The sequence below is a fragment of the Homo sapiens genome, chromosome 12 (assembly GCF_000001405.40).
Source record: "Homo sapiens chromosome 12, GRCh38.p14 Primary Assembly".
Lineage (NCBI taxonomy): Eukaryota > Metazoa > Chordata > Mammalia > Primates > Hominidae > Homo > Homo sapiens.
Genome location: NC_000012.12, coordinates 122581042 through 122599313, shown reverse-complemented (window position 1 = coordinate 122599313; position 18272 = coordinate 122581042). Strand labels below are relative to the sequence as shown.

At 41.7% G+C, this 18272-nt stretch overlaps 1 protein-coding gene across 11 annotated transcripts in view; it reads right to left on the bottom strand.

Moving 5' to 3' along the window:
• Window positions 1–18272, bottom strand: part of KNTC1 (kinetochore associated 1) — a 99148-nt gene that overhangs the window by 27083 nt on the left and 53793 nt on the right. For 7 of the 11 annotated variants that reach the window (NM_014708.6, XM_006719706.3, XM_011539027.4 and 4 more), the window contains 11 exons: window positions 16329–16609; window positions 14864–15036; window positions 14324–14421; window positions 13540–13678; window positions 12557–12613; window positions 11440–11603; window positions 10498–10602; window positions 8579–8707; window positions 7861–7977; window positions 4929–5038; window positions 1376–1583 (listed from right to left, as the gene is read on the bottom strand). In NM_014708.6, the coding sequence (NP_055523.1) occupies window positions 1376–1583; window positions 4929–5038; window positions 7861–7977; window positions 8579–8707; window positions 10498–10602; window positions 11440–11603; window positions 12557–12613; window positions 13540–13678; window positions 14324–14421; window positions 14864–15036; window positions 16329–16609 (1581 nt within the window). Of the gene's footprint in view, window positions 1–1375; window positions 1584–2049; window positions 2125–4928; window positions 5039–6134; window positions 6455–7860; window positions 7978–8578; window positions 8708–10497; window positions 10603–11439; window positions 11604–12556; window positions 12614–13539; window positions 13679–14323; window positions 14422–14863; window positions 15037–16328; window positions 16610–18272 lie in introns of those variants that run through there. The other 4 variants (XM_024449285.2, XM_047429918.1, XM_011539030.1 and 1 more) reach the window with 3 other exon arrangements.

Genomic DNA, 18272 nt, shown 5'->3' with positions numbered 1-18272 from the left:
CAAACATTCCAATTCTCAGAAGATCAGAAGATCTCCTAAACAAATACTGAGCAGAAGCCAGGTGTAGTCCCTGTAGTTCCAGCTACTCAGGAGGCTGAACAGGACGATCACTTGAGCCCAGGAGTTAGAGGCCAACCTGGGCAATATAGTGAGACCCCCTTCTCTTAAAAAAAACTAAAAAACAAATCAGACAAAAGTATAAAAATATGTATGAAGATATTAATTATAACAATTTATGATAATAAAATTTACCCAGCCATACCCAGACAACACAGTGAGATTCATCTGCACAAAAAAATTTTTTTTTTAATTTAAAAAATTTTAAAAATTAAAAAAATTACTGGGGTATGGCAGCATGCACCTACAGTTCCAGCTATCTGGGAGGCTGAGGTAGAAGGATCACTTGAGCCCAGGAGGTCAAGGCTGCCATGAGCCATGTTCACACCACTGCACTCCAGCCTGGGTGACAGTGAGACCCTATCTCAAATAAAAAAAAAAAAGTTTAAATGTCTAACCATAAAAGCCTGGTTAAATACGGCATGTTTTATCCATATAATGGAATAATAGTTATGCATCTGTCAAAAATGACGGTTCACTGGGCCTCGTGGCTCACCTCTGTATTCCTAGCACTTTGGGAGGCCAAGGTGGGAGGATCACTTGAGGCCAGGAGTTTGAAACCAGCCTGGACAACACGGTGAAATTCCATCTCTACTAAAAATACAAAAATGAGCCAGGCATGATGGTGCACACCTGTAATTCCAGCTATTCGGGAGGCTGAGGCTGGAGTATCACTTGAGCCCAGGACATAGAGGCTGTAGTGAGTCACATTCATACCACTGCACTCCAGCCTGGGCAACAGAGCAAGACCTTGTCTCAAAAAAAAAAAAAAAAAGAAAAGAAAAAGAAAAAAGACATTTCCGGCAGGACCATGAAAAAGATGAAAAAGAAATTGTTTCTTTTGAGATAGATGTGTATGTAATGACATATAATGACCATATGTTAAGTGAAAAAAGAGGGTCACAGAAGAGTATATTTAGTTTAAGATAGTTACTACACCACACTATTAACATCTTCATCTCTAGGGAGTGGAGTTATAGGGAAATTGCTTGTTTTGATTTATACATTTCTCTCTAGCTCATATAAATTCAAAGAATGTGTAAGGTTTTCAAAAATCTGGGGAAGAAAAGCTATTTCTATTTTGAAAAATGGGAAAATTGTATTTAACTGTGTTAAAAATATAGAAATCAAGAGAATATTTCAAATTAAAAGTTGATAAAAATATAGACTTATACATCCAATTTGTTACTAATGTATCTAATTATTAAGGGTGGGAGGGATGGCTGAGATGACCCGATTCATTTCACTGTGTGTCTACCTTATGTAGTATTCCACTAAGACTGATGACCAAATCTTTTGTGCTCGTCAGTAAAGGAACCATCTCAAGGGCTTTGGCCAGGAGTTTGGGATGCCGCCGCTTTGCAGAGTCCATGCTTGCATCTCCCTGGCCTTGGCCGGCATTTGTGTTGTGGAGCAGCGTTTCAATGAAGAGCTGAAGAACTGCATCGCAGTCCAACTGAAATGTGCTAAAAGAAGCATTCAATACACACCAGTCTCCCAAACTGCAGGCATTTCCATGCAAAGTATCTGACAAAACACTTGGGTACATGCTTCCATTGTTGAAATTTAACCTTGTCATTGTCCAGTCTCAAAATCAGACAAACTACCTGTCATCAAAGCTAATTATTGCCTTTTAAAAATCAGATATTAGGCCGGGTGCAGTGGCTCACACCTGTAATCCCAGCACTTTGGGAGGCCAAGGTGAACAGATCACGAGGTCAGGAGTTTGAGACCAGCCTGGCCAACATAGTGAAACCCCATCTCTACTAAAAATACAAAAATTAGCCAGGCATGGTGGCGCATGGCTGTAGTCCCAGCTACTCGGGAAGCTGAGGCAGGAGAATTGCTTGAACCCGGGAGGTGGAGGTTGCGGTGAGCCAAGATCGCACCACTGCACTCCAGTTTGGGCAACAGAGCAAGGCTCCATCTCAAAAAAAAAAAAAAAAAAAAAAAAATCAGGTATTATTCCTGGTGGGTGTGTAAACTGTTAGAATATTGGAGAGAAATCTGTAATAAAATTGAAAATATTTATGCTCTTTAGTATAAAAATGCAACATTTACAAATTTCACCTAAGAAGAAAAATATACATGTTAGTAAGGATGTCTTCTGCAGCAACTCTTTGTAATGATTAAAAGCTGAAAACAGTTTATATCTATAAGTGCCTACACATCAAAAAAGTAGAAAAAATTCATAAACAACCTAACAATACATCTTAAAGAAGTAGAAAAGGAAGAGCAAACCAAACAAAATTAGTAAAAGAAAAGAATAAAGATCAGAGCAGAAATAAATGAAATTGAAACAAAAACAATACCAAGGATCAACAAAACAAAAATTGGATTTTTTTTTGTTTCTTTGAGACAGGGTCTCATTCTGTTCCCCAGGCTAAAGTGCAGCGGCATGATCAAGGCTCACTGCAGTCTCAACCTCCTGGGCTCAAGTAATCCTCCCACCTCAACCTCTCAAGTAGCTGGAACTACAAGCATGCGCCACAACACTTCAGTGAATTTTTTTACCTTTGTAGAGATGGGGCTCTCACTATGTCACCAAGGCTGGTCTCCAACTCCTGGCCTCAAGCGATCCTCCTGCCTTGGCCCCTCAAAGTGTTGGGATTATAGGCGTTAGCCACCATACCTGGCCAAAAAGCTGTTTTGTTTTTTTTTTTTAAAGATAAAAAAAATCAGGCTGGGCACGTGATTCACGCCTGTAATCCCAGCACTTTGGGAGGCCGAGGCAGGTGGATCACGAGGTCAGGAGTTGGAGACCAGCCTGACCAATATGGTGAAACCCCATCTCTACCAAAAATACAAAAATTAGGCCAGGCATGGTGGCTCACGCCTGTAATCCTAGCACTTTGGGAGGTCGAGACGGGTGGATTGCCTGAGCTCAGGAGTTCAAGACCAGCCTAGGTAACATGGTGAAACCCGGTCTCTACTAAAATACAAATAATTAACCCGGCATGGTGGCATGCGCCTGTAATCCCAACTACTCAAGAGGCTGAGGCAGGAGAATCGCTTGAGCCCAGGAGGTGGAGGTTGCAGTGAGACAAGATTGCACCACTGCACTTCAGGCTGGGTGACAGAGCGAGACTCCGTCTCAAAAAAAAAAAAAAAAAAAAAGAATCTGGTTACTATAGACAAAATGACAACTGAAATGCCTTTTTAGACCCTATTAATAACACAGTGATAGTTTAATTTGCTATACAGCATAACTAAAATATCAATAAAAGGCTTAAGTACCACCATTTTCAAGTCACTCTCTGATATTCTAAAGTTTATCTAAATTTATTCAGATACACTGCCTGAGGCAGAAGTGTCACTATCATATGAATACAAATCATCAATGCCACGTAAGTAGAATAATTATGAAATGAACTTGACATTATAGCTATTTAAATTTCAAAAAAGTGTCCTGCACCATAAAACATCACAGAAGAATCTAGCAGTAGTTCAAATTAATAAAAAAGATAAGAGTGTGCATACCCTATTCTGGATTTATAACACTCTAAACTGAAGAATGACATAGTTTTGTTATTTCAAACTACTCTTTTAAGTCAGTGCTCCTTCGAGCTATGCGCAGCCTATAGTCCTTGACTTACAGGTACTAGATGGTGACAGCCACGGTCTTTCCCCACTATCCACAGAGACAAAGAACTAGATGCCTGCCCAGTGCAGGAAATGCACCAAGCAGTTTCATTCTCAATAACTCAGATTCCATTAATCTGTTACAAATCAGATGGAGGTTATAGCACCCATAATATTTTAGAAGCAGTCATTAATAATTTGACCTTGAGCAGGTCACATACTATGTTGTTTTCTCATATATCAACTGGCAACATATGCAATAAGAACTATAAAAATTAAATGAGGTGACAGATCTGAAAGCATTCTGAAACCAGAAAACGAGTCCTTGTATTTACTAGACAGAAACATCTGAGATATAAATTACAAATCATTTATCCCTACTTATCAAAGTCAGCGGAATCTATAAATAACACATTTTATCTTAGTTCTAAAAATTCTTGTTCAGGCGCAGTGGCTCACGCCTATAATCCCAGTACTTTGGGAGGCCGAGGCGGGTGAATCACTTGAGGTCAGGAGTTCGGGACCAGCCTGGCCAACATGGTGAAACCCCATCTCTATTAAAAATATAAAAATTAGCCAGGCGTGGTGGTGCATGCCTGTAATTCCAGCTACTTGGGAGGTTGAGGCCAGAGAATGGCTTGAAGGTGGAGGCTGCGGTGAGCTGAGATTACGCCACTGCACTCCAGCCTGGGTGACAGAGGGAGACTCCGTCTCAAATAAAGAAAGAAGTTAAATAAAAATAAAAATTCTTTTATAAACATTTTTAATAGGAAATTAGAAATTCTCCCTAAATCATACTTTTCATTAATTTTTAAGATTACTTTGCTCCCTAGTTAACCTGATTTAGAAGTTTATTACTCAGAAGAATATTCTCCAACTTTTCTGATCATAGGAATCACCTGAGCTCCTATTAGAGACCAGCGATTTCTAGGCCTTGGTCCAGACCCACTGAGTCAGAACTGCCAGAGAGGCCCAGAAACCTGCATTTGAAATCAAGTGCCCTAAGCAGTGCTTATCAGGAGACAAGTTTGGGAAACACTAAATGGTGAATTTAAATGGTGGTATCATAAGAGACTCTAATCTGATTTCATATTTACTCAGTTTGGGAATGAGCAAAAGAAAATAGTGGTCTATGGACCTCATAAAATAATCATCGTTATTACTGTGTTCTTGCAAAAGAATTACCAGTTTGTTAACAGCAAAAATACCGTTAATGTTTAAAGAATTACCTGCAATATTCCAAAATGAGGCTTGTGTCCATATCTATATTCTCCACAAGAGCTTTAATGAGGTCTTTCTTGGTGAGAAAATGTTGCCTGAAAACTGGTTGAAAAGAAATCTAGAAATAAAAAGAAAAAAACAAAGCAAAAAAACCCTCTACACTGAAATGTATCAGAGTAAGGGCAACATCATGACTTGCCTTCTTAGTATCCTTTTTCAAAAAGAAACATTTGTCTATAGCTCCTCCAACCTCACACTACCCAACCCAGCCATCATTCTGAGATTTGAGGTGTACATGGGTCCGAAACTCCTCTTAGTCATCCTAACCATTGCCTCTTCATCTGAAAAGTTTGATTGTTAATGTCAACAGAACACCAGTTCCATTACTGCAGAAGAATTAAGCTTCAAAACATATAGCATTTCTGTACTGATTACCTTTCTGATAAGTCAACTGTTGGCAAATAAAATGTCTTATATTTTTGGTAAAGAAAACAGGGTTTTGGCTCATGCCTATAATCCCAGCACTGTGGGAGGCTGAGGCGGGTGGATCACTTGAGGTCAGGAGTTTGAGACCAGCTTGGCCAACATGGAAACCTTGTCTCTACAAAAAAATACAAAACAATTAGCTGGGCATGGTGGTGCATGCCTGTAGTCCCAGCTACTCAGGAGGCTAAGCTGGGAGGATCACTTAGGCCCTAGAGGTCAAGGCTGCAGTGAGCCATGATAATGCCACTGCACTCCAGCCTGGGTGACAGAATGAGATCCTGTCAAAGACAAGATTGCGCCCTGCCTGCTTGTCTGTTCTTTTACAATGTCAAAAATAAAGCTCAAGGCTGGGCGCGGTAGCTCATGTCTGTAATCCCAGCACTTTGGGAGGCCGACGTGGGCGGATCACGAGGTCAAGAGATGGGAGACCATCCTGGCCAATACAGTGAAACCCTGTCTCTACTAAAATACAAAAAATTAGCCGGGCGTGGTGGTGCATGCCTGTAGTCCCAGCTACTTGGGAGGCTGAGGCAGGGGAATTGCCTGAGCCTGGGAGGCGGATGTTGCAGTGAGCCGAGATCGTCCCACTGCACTCCAGCCTGGCAAAAGAGCAAGACTCTGTCTCAAAAAAAAAAAAAAAAGAAAAAAAGAAAGAAAAATAAAGGCCATTTACGTCCCCTCTGCTAGTGTGTCCGGAATTGGTGGGTTCTTGGTCTCACTGACTTCAAGAATGAAGCCGCGGACCCCCGAGGTGAGTGTTACAGCTCTTAAGGTGGCGCGTCTGGAGTTTGTTCCTTCTGATGTTCAGATGTGTTGGGAGTTTCTTCCTTCTGGTGGGTTCGTGGTCTCGCTGGCTCAGGAGTGAAGCTGCAGACCTTCGCAGTGAGTGTTACAGCTCTTAAGGCAGAGCGTCTGGAGTTGTTCCTTCCTCTCGGTGGGCTCGTGGTCTCCACTCAGGAAAGAAGCTGCAGATCTTCATGTGAGTCTCACAGCTCATAAAAACAGCGTGGACCCAAAGAGTGAGCAGTAGCAAGATTATTGCAAACAGCTAAAGAACAAAGCACAGTGTGGAAGGGGACCCGAGCGGGTTGCCAGTGCTGACTCGGGCAGCCTGCTTTTATTCTCTTATCTGGCCCCACCCACATCCTGCTGATTGGTAGAGCCGAGTGGCCTGTTTTGACAGGACGCTGATTGGTGCGTTTACAATCCCTGAGCTAGATACAAAGGTTCTCCACGTCCCCATCAGATTAGTTAGATACAGAGTTTTGACACACAGGTTCTCCAAGGCCCCACCAGAGCAGCTAGATACAGAGTGTAGATTGGTGCATTCACAAACCTTGAGCTAAACACAGGGTGCTGATTGGTGTATTTACAATCCCTGAGCTAGATATAAAGAATCTCCACGTCCCCACCAGACTCATGAGCCCAGCTGGCTTCACCTAGTGGATCCCGCACCAAGGGCTGCAGGTGGAGCTGCCTGCCAGTCCCGTGCCGTGCGCTCACACTCCTCAGCCCTTGGGCGGTCCATGGGACTGGGCGCCGTGGAGCATGGGGCGGCATTTGTCGGGGAGGCTCGGGCTGCACAGGAACCCACGGAGGCGGGGGAAGGCTCAGGCATGGCGGGCTGCAGTCCCAAGGCCTGCCCCGTGGGAAGGCAGCTAAGGCCCGGCGAGAAAGCGAGCACAGCGCCCGTGGGCTGGTACTGCTGGGGGACCCAGTACACCCTCCGCAGCCGCTGGCCCGGGTGCTAAGCCCCTCACTGCCCGGGGCCGGCAGGGCCGGCCGGCCGCTCCGAGTGCAGGGCCCGCCAAGCCCACATCCACCCGGAACTCCAGCTGGCCCGCAAGCGCCATGCGCAGCCCGGGTTCCTGCTCGCGCCTCTCCCTCCACACCTCCCTGCAAGCTGAGGGAGCCGGCTCTGGCCTTGGCCAGCCCAAAAAGGGGCTCCCACAGTGCAGCGGCAGGCCGAAGGGCTCCTCAAGTGCCGCCAAAGTGGGAGCCCAGGCAGAGGAGGCGCCGAGAGCGAGCGAGGGCTGTGAGGACTGCCCGCACACTGTCACCTCTCACTAGGAGTTCTTGAAGCATGGTATATAGCTGTATATACATTTTAATATTATCTTTAAATAACAGCAGCAGAAAACAAAAGTATGAGGCTAAAGGCTAGGCCTGAAATAGCATAAATGTCAATTGATACTAGATATATACCTATAAATGAGAAAGTTAAGCAGCTGAAAATGTCAGGCCCCTTTTAATTTCCTTAAAAATACAGAAAAAAGGAAATGAGGCAAAAAGTTCCTTATTTCTTTGAAAGCACCTATGTGTGTAGTTAATAAAATGTATGAGGCAGTACACATACACTCTCCTCCCAAAAGTAAAGAACAACAGAATCTTTGTTTTAAATTTTCCAACCGGGTAATTAACAGAATCGATGACAGCAGTACAAAGAATACTCACACCAAGTTTACCAAGACGAATGCCCCACTGGGCATCAGTACTGAGTTCACGGAACTTAAGCCCCATTTCTATTTCCTGATAGAGACTTGCCAGCTCAGAGCCCACCAGAGATATTGCCTAAAAAATTAAAAGAGAATTAAAGTTCAATCGTAAGTAGAATGTATTCTTATAACACCTTTTAGACGAAACGCAACAATAAAAATCATAACTTTGTGATCAACCGTGTAGAATGTTACATATTATTTTGTACACAGTCGTTACTTCTTACGTAATATTTAGGTAATTCAGGTTTTCGTATAATGCTATACATTTAGCCTGGCTTTCCTTTATAATAAAAGGCCAAATTTTAGTTATCTTGCAAGAAAATCCCTTAACACAATATCCAAGAGAAATTTTCTATCTGTTAAACTTATCCTACAAAAACAAACTGATTCATGGGTCTAGGGTTTCAACTACACCAAAATAAGATTTGAGGTTCTAAGGGTGTACACAGATTTTAAGAAATTAAAAAACTGTAATTCTTTGGGTTGAACAATGCTCATAACTTGCATATACAGGCAACAGTATGTCACCAGTCAAGCAGAAGCTGGTAGAAATCACGAGTTAGCTCAACATTTCTTCTACTAAATCTTTAAGAACAGGTGGCAAAACCAACTTCATTTCTCCCCCCCAATCTTGAATACTTCAAGAATTGAAGGTGTGCTTCCTTAGGACATACCAAGATTTTGTCGTAATTCTGCCATGCTTTATCTATGAGCTTCCAGAGATTTTCAAACACATCTTTTTGAGGTAAGAGAGTGCAGTAACCCAACGCCAGGTCAAGATCTACCAAGCGACAATTAAATACCTACAGGAAGAAACCAGCAAAAGAAGCAAATTCTTCACAATCAAAACAGAATTAACTTTGTTCACAAAGGGCAGAAATACAAATAAAGAGGAATAATTTTAATTTATACTTAAAAAAAACTTTTTAAAGAAAAAAAAACAGAATTCAGTGTCTCAAGGTTTATTTACCACTAAATTGAATTATAGACACTACAGAAGAAGTGTTTCATGAAAAGTTATAGTAACATAGTTCTAATGTGTTTGCTTAGGTTTAATGTCCTTTATGACTATCTGAAGAGTAAGGAAAGCAACTACAAGTTCTATAGGGCACTGAAATATTTAGGGGTAAAGAGCTATAATGTATGTAACTAAATCCTAAATACAAAAAATATATACAAAATATGAAATGATTTTATATATAAATAGAAAAATAGAGAAAGAGCATGCCAGAAAATGATGAAACAGTAAACGGTATACCAAAGATCTTTGTGCTATTCTTAAAATTTTCCTGAAACTTTGAAATTATCTCCAAATAAAAAATTTTAGGCCAGGTGCAGTGGTTCATGCCTATAATCCCAGCACTTTGGGAGGCCGAGGAGGGTGGATCACAAGGGTCAGGATATCAAGACCATCCTGGCTAACACAGTGAAACCCGGTCTCTACTAAAAATACCAAAAATTAGCCAGGCGTGGTGGTGGGCACCTGTAGTCCCACCTACTCAGGAGGCTGAGGCAGGAGAATGGCGTGAACCTGGGAGGCGGAGCTTGCAGTGAGCCGAAATCGCGCCACTGCACTCCAGCCTGGATGAGAGTGCGAGACTCCGTCTCAAAAAAAAAAAAAAAAAAAAAAAAATTGGGGGGCCCGGGCACAATATCATGCCTGTACTTTCAGCATTTCAGGAGACCAAGGTGGAAGGATTGCTCGAGGCCAAGAGTCCAAGACCAGCCTGGGCAACACAGTGAGACCTGTCTCTACAAAAAATTTTTACAAATTGGCCAGGCATGGTAAAACACCAGCAGCCCCAGATACTCAGGAGGCTGAGCAGCAGGAGGGTTGCTTGAGCCCATGAGTTCAAGGCTGCAGTAAGCTATGATGGTGCCTCTGCACTATAGCCTAGGTGACAGAGTGAGACCCTGTCTCCAAAAAAAAAAAAAAAACACAATTTTTTTAAAGAAGTAATCTGACAAATGAAATTAAATGCTTAATGCAACTATATTTTCACCAAATACAGTTGATGAAACATTAAATATTTCTAATATTTAAAAACATCTAATAAAAAATCTAATATTTAAAATATTAGAATCTTTTAAAAAATAAAGGGTAATGGAAAATTAGGATTTCTGCAATAGAAATAAGTGAAAGGATCATTGGAATGCTTTAATCTGTAAAATAAATAACTACAGAGTGGGGCACAGTTGCTCATGCCTATAATCTCAGTGACTTGGGAGGCTGAGGCAGGAGGATAACTAGAACCCAGAAGTTCAAGGCTGTAGCAAACTATGATCATACTACTGCACTCCAGCCTGGGTGACAGAGAAAAACCTCATCTCTAAAAAATAAATAAATATAAATATAAGTAACCAAAATCAGGATACGACAGTGGACAAGATTGACTACTATTTCATAAAAGCTCTATAGCATGTCAATTACCATAATAAAAATATAATTGATTAGCTATAAGACAGTTTCTTGAAGTTTTTGAATAGTAAAATACTACTGTACTGAATCATAAACTATTGAGTCATATGCAATTAACTGAGGTAAAAGGCAAAAAAAAAACAAACAAAATTTTTACCCAGAACAAATACTTACTTTGTGCAGTAGTGTTGTAGCATTTTCCCTGATAAATATAACAGCTTTTTCTTTCAATTCCATAACAACATGCCTTGATTTAACTAATGTAGTCTCTCCAAATAACTTTTAGAAAAGAAGAAAAAAATATTTAGGTCTAGTTCTATATAACATTCTGAAAATTTTTTCAAATATTAAGGAACTTTGGTGAAAATTCATCATTATATCCAAAAAGTATCAGAATTTAACCTATAGTGCTAGAAAGGGGTGGGGGACTGACTGGGAGGGAGCAAAGAGGAAGCATTAAAAATACCCTAAGTCTTCACTGTGGTGTTGGTGACAAGGTGAGTACATTGGTTGATATACTTAAAATGTGCATTTTAATTTTGAAAGTTATACCTCAATACAGTTCATTAAAAAAGAGTCAGCATTTAATACATATCAACAGAGTAGTAGAAATGAAGACAACTCCCTCTGAGGCCCAGTTTCATAAGCGAGTTATCAACAGTTAGTTTGTCTTCTAGAATCTCTTCAATGATGCTCAATGATACTCTCAGAAATAATTATAATAATTTGGCCATTTAGGTGATAACAAAACAAACAGCAGATATTTTGACCAAATGTGGTATAGTGGACACTGCACTAAGCTTAGAGTGTGAAGACTTACCACTACAATATAAAACCTTGGTTAACTTATTCCACCTCCCTGAATCTGAGCTGAGCTTCCACATTTGTAAACTGGAAACTCTCAGGGCTGTTGCAAAGAATGAGTATGAAAATGTGTGCAGGCACCTTATTCCCACACCAGATTCTTAGAGATGCTCAACAAATGTTCTTAAATCTGACGAATTACCAATTTCCTTGCTACAAAGACAATAGGAAAACGTGGACTCCAAATTCCTCTGTTAGCGCTTTTACATCTATATTCACCCCAAGTCAAAGTATTTGTTCTTGACACTATACCTTTTCACTCAAAGTGGCATTCATGAAGTTTGACACAGAGTGCTGAAGACAGGTACCAAATGAACCAACCACAAATCTTAGGGCTAGCTCCCACTGGCTAGATTCCTGAAGATTCTGAAGCAGGGCAGAGATGGAATTTATAACAGGTAAAACAAGGCCATCTCCTGCAGAGTGATAAAGGATTTTAATATTTAGATTTTTTAAACAAAGAAAGATCATATTATTGAAAACTGTTTTCAGGGACAGCCTGCTTCTTCAATACAGATAATAGTCATGGAGTTTGTTCTCAGTTAGTTAATGAGAAGTTAACATGAGGCTTGACTTAAACCAGAAAATAACTAAGTCTACTAGTTAATGAGATCCTTTGATTGTAACTTGCCTATTTTAGCTGAAGAAAAACCATTTCTCCATTTGAAAGATAAAAATTTATAAACAAATTCATAGAAGTTAACACTATAAGCCAAATCACATAATCTACTGAACTTTTAAACAAATAACAATGTAAAAATAATAACTAAACAATTACATTAAGGATATTAAATCACATTCATATTTAGAATTTCAAGAAATTTCTAGAACTACGATTTTTTGTTTTTTTAGAGATAGGGTCTTCTGTTGCCCAGGCTGGAGTACAGTAGTGCCATCATAGCTCATTGCAGCCCTGACCTCCTGGGCTCAAGAGATCCTCCCACCTCAGCCTCCCAAGTAACCAGGACTACAGGAGCACACCACCATTTCTTTCTATTAAGAAATCTTAAGGCCAGACGTGGTGGCTCACGCCTGTAATCCCAGCACTTTGGGAGGCTGAGGCGGGTGGATCACCTGACGTCAGGAGTTCAAGACCAGGCTGGCCAACATGGTGAAATCCTGTCTCTACTAAAAATACAAAAGAACTAGCTCGGCGTGGTGGCACACGCCTGTAATCCCAGCTACTTGGGAGGCTAAGGCAGGAGAACTGCTTGAGCCCGGGAGGTGGAGAGGTTGCAGTGAGCTCCAATCATGCCATTTCACTCCAGCCTGGGCAACAGAGCAAGACTCTGTCTCAAAAAAATAAAATAAATAAATAAATAAATAAATAAATATTAATAGAATGCTATATATTTCTTGTGCCAAATACCTTCATTAAGGGAGCAGTATGGCAAACTGGTAGACTCCAAGGGATATCTCTTGCTTTCTACAAAAGATAATAAAACATTAAACAACACTAAATAGATGGCCACACTAAAAGCCCAGACTTCATCACTATGCAATATATCCATGTAACAAAATAGCACTTGGACCCCTTAAATTCATACAACTAATAAATAAATAAATAACCCTCACACAGCACATACTCTCACAGATGTGTAAATATTTCACTATTATAAAAAAAGTTCTAAAGCGAACTGATGCTTTAAAAATAAATATACACAGGAAAATGCACAGGTAAGTGTATAACCTGATAAACGTCCACAAACTGAAGAAGCAGCATCCAGATCAAGAAATAGAACATCGGCCGGGCGCGGTGGCTCACGCCTGTAATCCCTGCACTTTGGAAGGCTGAGGCGGGCAGATCACTTGAGGTCAGGAGATTGAGACCAGCCTGGCCAACATGGTGAAACCCCATCTCTACTAAAAATACAAAATTAGCCAGGCGTGGTGGCATGAGCCTGTAATTCCAGCTACCTGGGAGGCTGAGGCACGATAATTGCTTGAACCCAGGAGGCAGAGGTTGCAGTGAGCTGAGATCATGCCACTGCACTCCAGCCTGAGTGACAGAGCAGGACTCCGTCTCAAAAACAAAACAAAACAAAACAAAACAAACACACAAAAAAGAAACAAAACATTGCCAGCTCCCCAGCTCCCTCCTTTCCCTTTCCCACCCTCAAGGGTAACCACTGCCCTGACTTCAAACAGCACCAGCTTAGTCCTAGCCTGTGTTTGTACTTTACATAAATGAAATCACACAGTATTTATTCTTTTGTATCTGCTTCTTTAGCTCCACATTACGCTTATAAGGTTCGCCCACATTACTGTGTGTAGTTCTAGCTCCAAACCTCTACAGTTTAAATTTACATAAGACAGAAACACATAGAAAATAATGATACAAATAAGACTTACCAGCTAGAGGCACAAGAGATGAAATCAGTTCATAAATCACTGGAAGCACCATCTGTGACTCAAGAACAATTCCATCTTCACTGAAGAAGTCACTGTAAGACCACTCTTCATATGGATCTTTATGTGTCCCAAAAGAAGCCTAGGTGCCAAATCATACAAAAAAGAGAGAACTCAGTACGCTGCACAACACATTGTTTCTTCTGGTCTATGGCTTATAGAAATTTCATTTTAAGTTAAACTCTAACAGAAGGACAATGTCGAGGGAGGCCTTGCTGGAGGCCCAATGTTTTGAAAGATAGTGCAAATTAAAGCCAATCAAGTGACTGGAACAGAGAAGTGGCCTCATGCCCTTACGTTGTTTTCCGGTCTAGGGTAAGAAAACATAAGAGGTGGATTCAGTATTTTCATAAACTTTGCAAATGATTAAAAAACGGCCCAGGTGCAGTGGCTCATGCCTGTAATCCGAGCACTTTGAGAGGCTGAGGTGGGGGAATCACTTGAGCCCAGGAATTGAAGACCAGCCTAGACAAGATGGTGAGACCCTGTCTCTGCAAAAAAAAAATTTTTTTTTAATTAGTCAGATGTGGTGGCACACACTTATAGTCCCAGCTACTCAGAAGGCTGAGGTGGGAGGACTGCTTAAGCCCAGTTCAAGACTGCAGTAAGCCTTGATCATGCCACTGCACTCCAGCCTGGGTGACAGAACAAAACCCTGTCCGAAAAAAAAAAAAGGTGCATAATGCGTTGCCCAGGATTTAAGGGAAAAAACTCAAAAGTAACTTACTTTCATGAGGATTCCACAGTCATCCATTTGGCATTGTCTGGAAAGCTCTACAGCCATTAAAGTATGTTTACATAGTTCTAAAGCATCTAGTAAAAAATCTGAAACAAAATGGAGAAAAATCATTAAACTCATATTTCATGTCTTTAGGATAATGAAAACAACCTTTTAATAATTACCATTTAAAATTCTAAGGAAGGCCACAATGTAGATAGAAAGGTTCCATATAGCTTTGACTACCCTAAAAAGTTAAATTTTTTCTCAAGCTTGACTTGAAAATAAGATCAGATATGGGAGGCAAGGAATTTCATAATCCTACAAAAGTGAGTAATGTCAACAGTCAGAAATGACATTGTTAGTATTTTGAAATACTTTCAAACAATAATCCTCAAAGAGAATCAATTATAAGCATCCCTTTGTGAAATGCAGATACTATCTCTAGTCTGATTACCGTGATGTCCAATTGTAAAGAGACAGCATTTGGGAGACAAGTATGACATGAACCAGAGAATATAAAACTACGTATATTATAAATATTGTCACCTGGACTGCAAATGGTGGCAGCTTGGCTTGCTAGATCATGTATCATGGAAGGAAGATTCAGTCCCACAGGCACTGTCACTGGGACATTATCAGCCAACATCTGACAAAGCTTCTGACATGTCAGAAATAGCAATTTCCCAGTGTCAGCATTGCAGTGATACTTAAACAAGTCGCTTTGGAAGAAAGAAAGTATTGGTAGTTAGAATACTCACATTGAAAGTGAACGCATGGCCTTTCTTGGATTAATATATCACCACCACCATCAACACATTAAATGTCTTTTAAATGTTCTCATGGTATATAGTGTAGTTTTTCTTTTGTTTTTTTGAGACAGGCTCTAGCCCTATCGCCTAGGCAGGAGTGCAGTGGCACAATCATGGCTCACTGCAGCCTCAACCTCCAGGGTCAAGCAATCTTCTCACTTCAGCCTCCCAAGTAGCTGAGACTACAGGTGTGTGCCACCACACTTGGCTAATTTTTAAATTTTTTTTGTAGAGATGAGCTCTCACTATGTTGCCCAGGCTGGTCTCAAACTCCTGGGCTGAAGTAATCCTCCTGCCTTGGCCTCCAAAACTGCTGGGATTACAGGTGTGAGTCACCGTGCCCAGCCTGTTTTTCTTTTTCTGAGACTGAGTCTCACTCTGTCGCCCAGGCTGGAGTGCAATGGCACGATCTGGGCTCACTGCAACCTCCACCTCCCAGGTTCAAGCGATTCTCCTGCCTCAGCCTCCCGAGTAGGTGGGATTAGAGGTGCCCACCACCACACCCGACTAACAGTTGTATTTTTAGTAGAGACAGGGTTTCACTGTGTTGGCCAGGCTGGTCTTGAACTCCTGACCTCAAGTGATCTGCCCACCTCAGCCTCCCAAAGTACTGGGATTACAGGCGTGAGTCACCACACCTGGCCCCAGCCTGTTTTTCAAATGACTAAGGATACCATTAAATGCTGAAGTGCACAGTAACCTAAATTTAATGGTTATGTTACCTAACTCTGCAGTATTGCTTACTTGCCTTTTATGCTACTACTTTCTGACACTGAGGCCCAAAATATGCTCTGAAGGTGAGAAATCAAGAATTGCTTCTGTGAAAAAAGAGTGTCACTGGCCCTACCCTTATGACTGAAGAAATCAGGCAGTTGTTACTTTCTTTCTTTTTGTGAGACGGAGTCTTGCTCTGTAGCTCAGGCTGGAGTGCAGTGGTGTGATCTCGGCTCACTGCAACCCGCCACGATCCTGCCTCAGCCTCCCCAGTAGCTGGGACTATAGGCACATGCCACCATGCCTGGCTAATTTTTTGTATTTTTAGTAGAGACAGGGTTTCACCATGTTAGCCAGGATGGTCTTGATCTCCTGACCTTGTGATCCGCCTGCCTCGGCCTCCTAAATTGCTGGGATTACAGGTATGAGTTACCGTGCCCAGCCGCAATTTCAGAGAAGCTATGCAATTCAGGGATCTGGAATGTCACCTGCATTTTTTCAGTGCTGTTTTGATGTTCCCATCTTTTAAGGCTCTCAAGGTCAGCTCTGCCTCCAGCTCTTGTTTGGACATCTGCAGGGCCAGTGCCTGTCTGTGCAGCTTTGATTCCATGCTTGGGCTCCTCACCTCAGCAGCTATGGGCTCTGGGGTGCTCCCAGGTTTGTGTTTCGCCTGTGCAACTTCGTGAGCTTTAATGTGCTGCTCACGGAGATCTGCTACCAGGGAACTATTGCTATAATCTTCAAATGAAAGAAAGACCTCAAAGTTCTCCTGTAGCAAAGGTAAGCAAGACAAAGTCCCAAGTCTGTTTAATCTATTGTTTAAAATAATCATTTTCATTAGTTTTTTTTTTCATAATTTCAACTTTTATTTTAGATTCAGGGGTACATGTCTGGGCTTCTCACCTGGGTATATTGTGTGATGCTGAGGCTTGAGGTACAACTGATCCCATCACCCAGCATAGTACCTGATGCGTAGTTTTTCGACCTTTGCCCTCCTCCCCTCCCCACCTCAGCAAGGTAGTTCCCAGTTGTTTACATCCATCCATTCATTCATTTTAAGGCAGGGTTTCACTCTGTTGCCCAGGCTGGAGTGCAGTGGTATAAACACAGCTCCTGCAGCCTCCACCTTCTAGTCTCACACCATCTTCTTGCTACAGCCTCCAAAGTAGCTGGGACTGCAGGCACGCATCACCACGCCCAGCTAATTTTTGTTATTTTTAGTAGAGACGAGGTCTCACTATGTTGCCTAGGGTAGTCTCAAACTCATGAGCTCAAGTGATCCTCTAGCCTCATTCTCCCAAAGCGTTGGGATTACAGGCATGAACCACTGTACCCGGCCTCCAGATGGTTTTCACAGAGAAAGCTATTTACAGCTGGTCTCAAATTTTTGGGTCATAGGACTCCTTTACATGCTTAATTGTATGATTCCACTTATATGAAATAGCTAGAATAAGCAAATTCACAGCGACAGAAAGTAGAGATAACCAGGGGCTGCGAGAAGAGAGGAAAGGGGAGTTATTTTTTCATGGCTACGGAGTTTCTGCTCAGGGTCATGAAAAAGTAGATAGAGGTGATGGCTGCACAACACTGTGAATGTAATTAACACCACTGAATTACAAACTAAATAACTGTTAACATGGAACATTTTGTTATAAGTATTTTAACAAAATTAATAATGCATCCACGCACGGTGGCTCACACCTATAATCCCAGTATTTTGGGAGGCTGAGGCGGGCAGATCGCTTGAGGCCAGGAGTTTGAGACCAGCCTGGCAAACATGGCAAAACCCCGTCTCTATTAAAAACACAAAAACTAGCTAGGTGTGGTGGCACATGCCTGGAGTCTCAGCTACTCAAGAGGCTGAGACAGGAGAATCTCTTGAACCTGGGAGGCAGAATCTGCAGTAAGCTGAGATCATGCCACAGCCCTCCAGCCTGGGCAACAGAGTGAGACTTTGTCTCAAAAAAAGAAAAAAGGCCAGGCGCGGTGGCTCACACCTGTAATCCCAGCACTTTGGGAGGCCGAGGTGGGCGGATCACCTGAGGTCAGGAGTTTGAGACCAGCCTGACCCACACAGAGAAACCCCAACTCTACTTAAAATACAAAATTAGCCGGGCTTGGTGGCACATGCCTATAATCCCAGCTACTTGGGAAGGCTGAGGCAAGAGAATCACTTGAACCTGGGAGGTGGAGGTTGCAGTGAGCCGAGATCACGCCATTGCACTCCAGCCTGGGCAACAAGAGCAAAACTCCATCTCAAAAAAAAAAAAAAAAATTAATAACACAACATAACAAAAAAATCATTGAATTGTATATTTTAAGTGGATGAATTATATGGTATGTAAATTACATCTCAATACAGCTGTTGAGAGAGAGAGAGAGAGAAGGAAAACCAGTATCTCCAGTCCCTAAAGGCTAGTGCAAAAAACTTT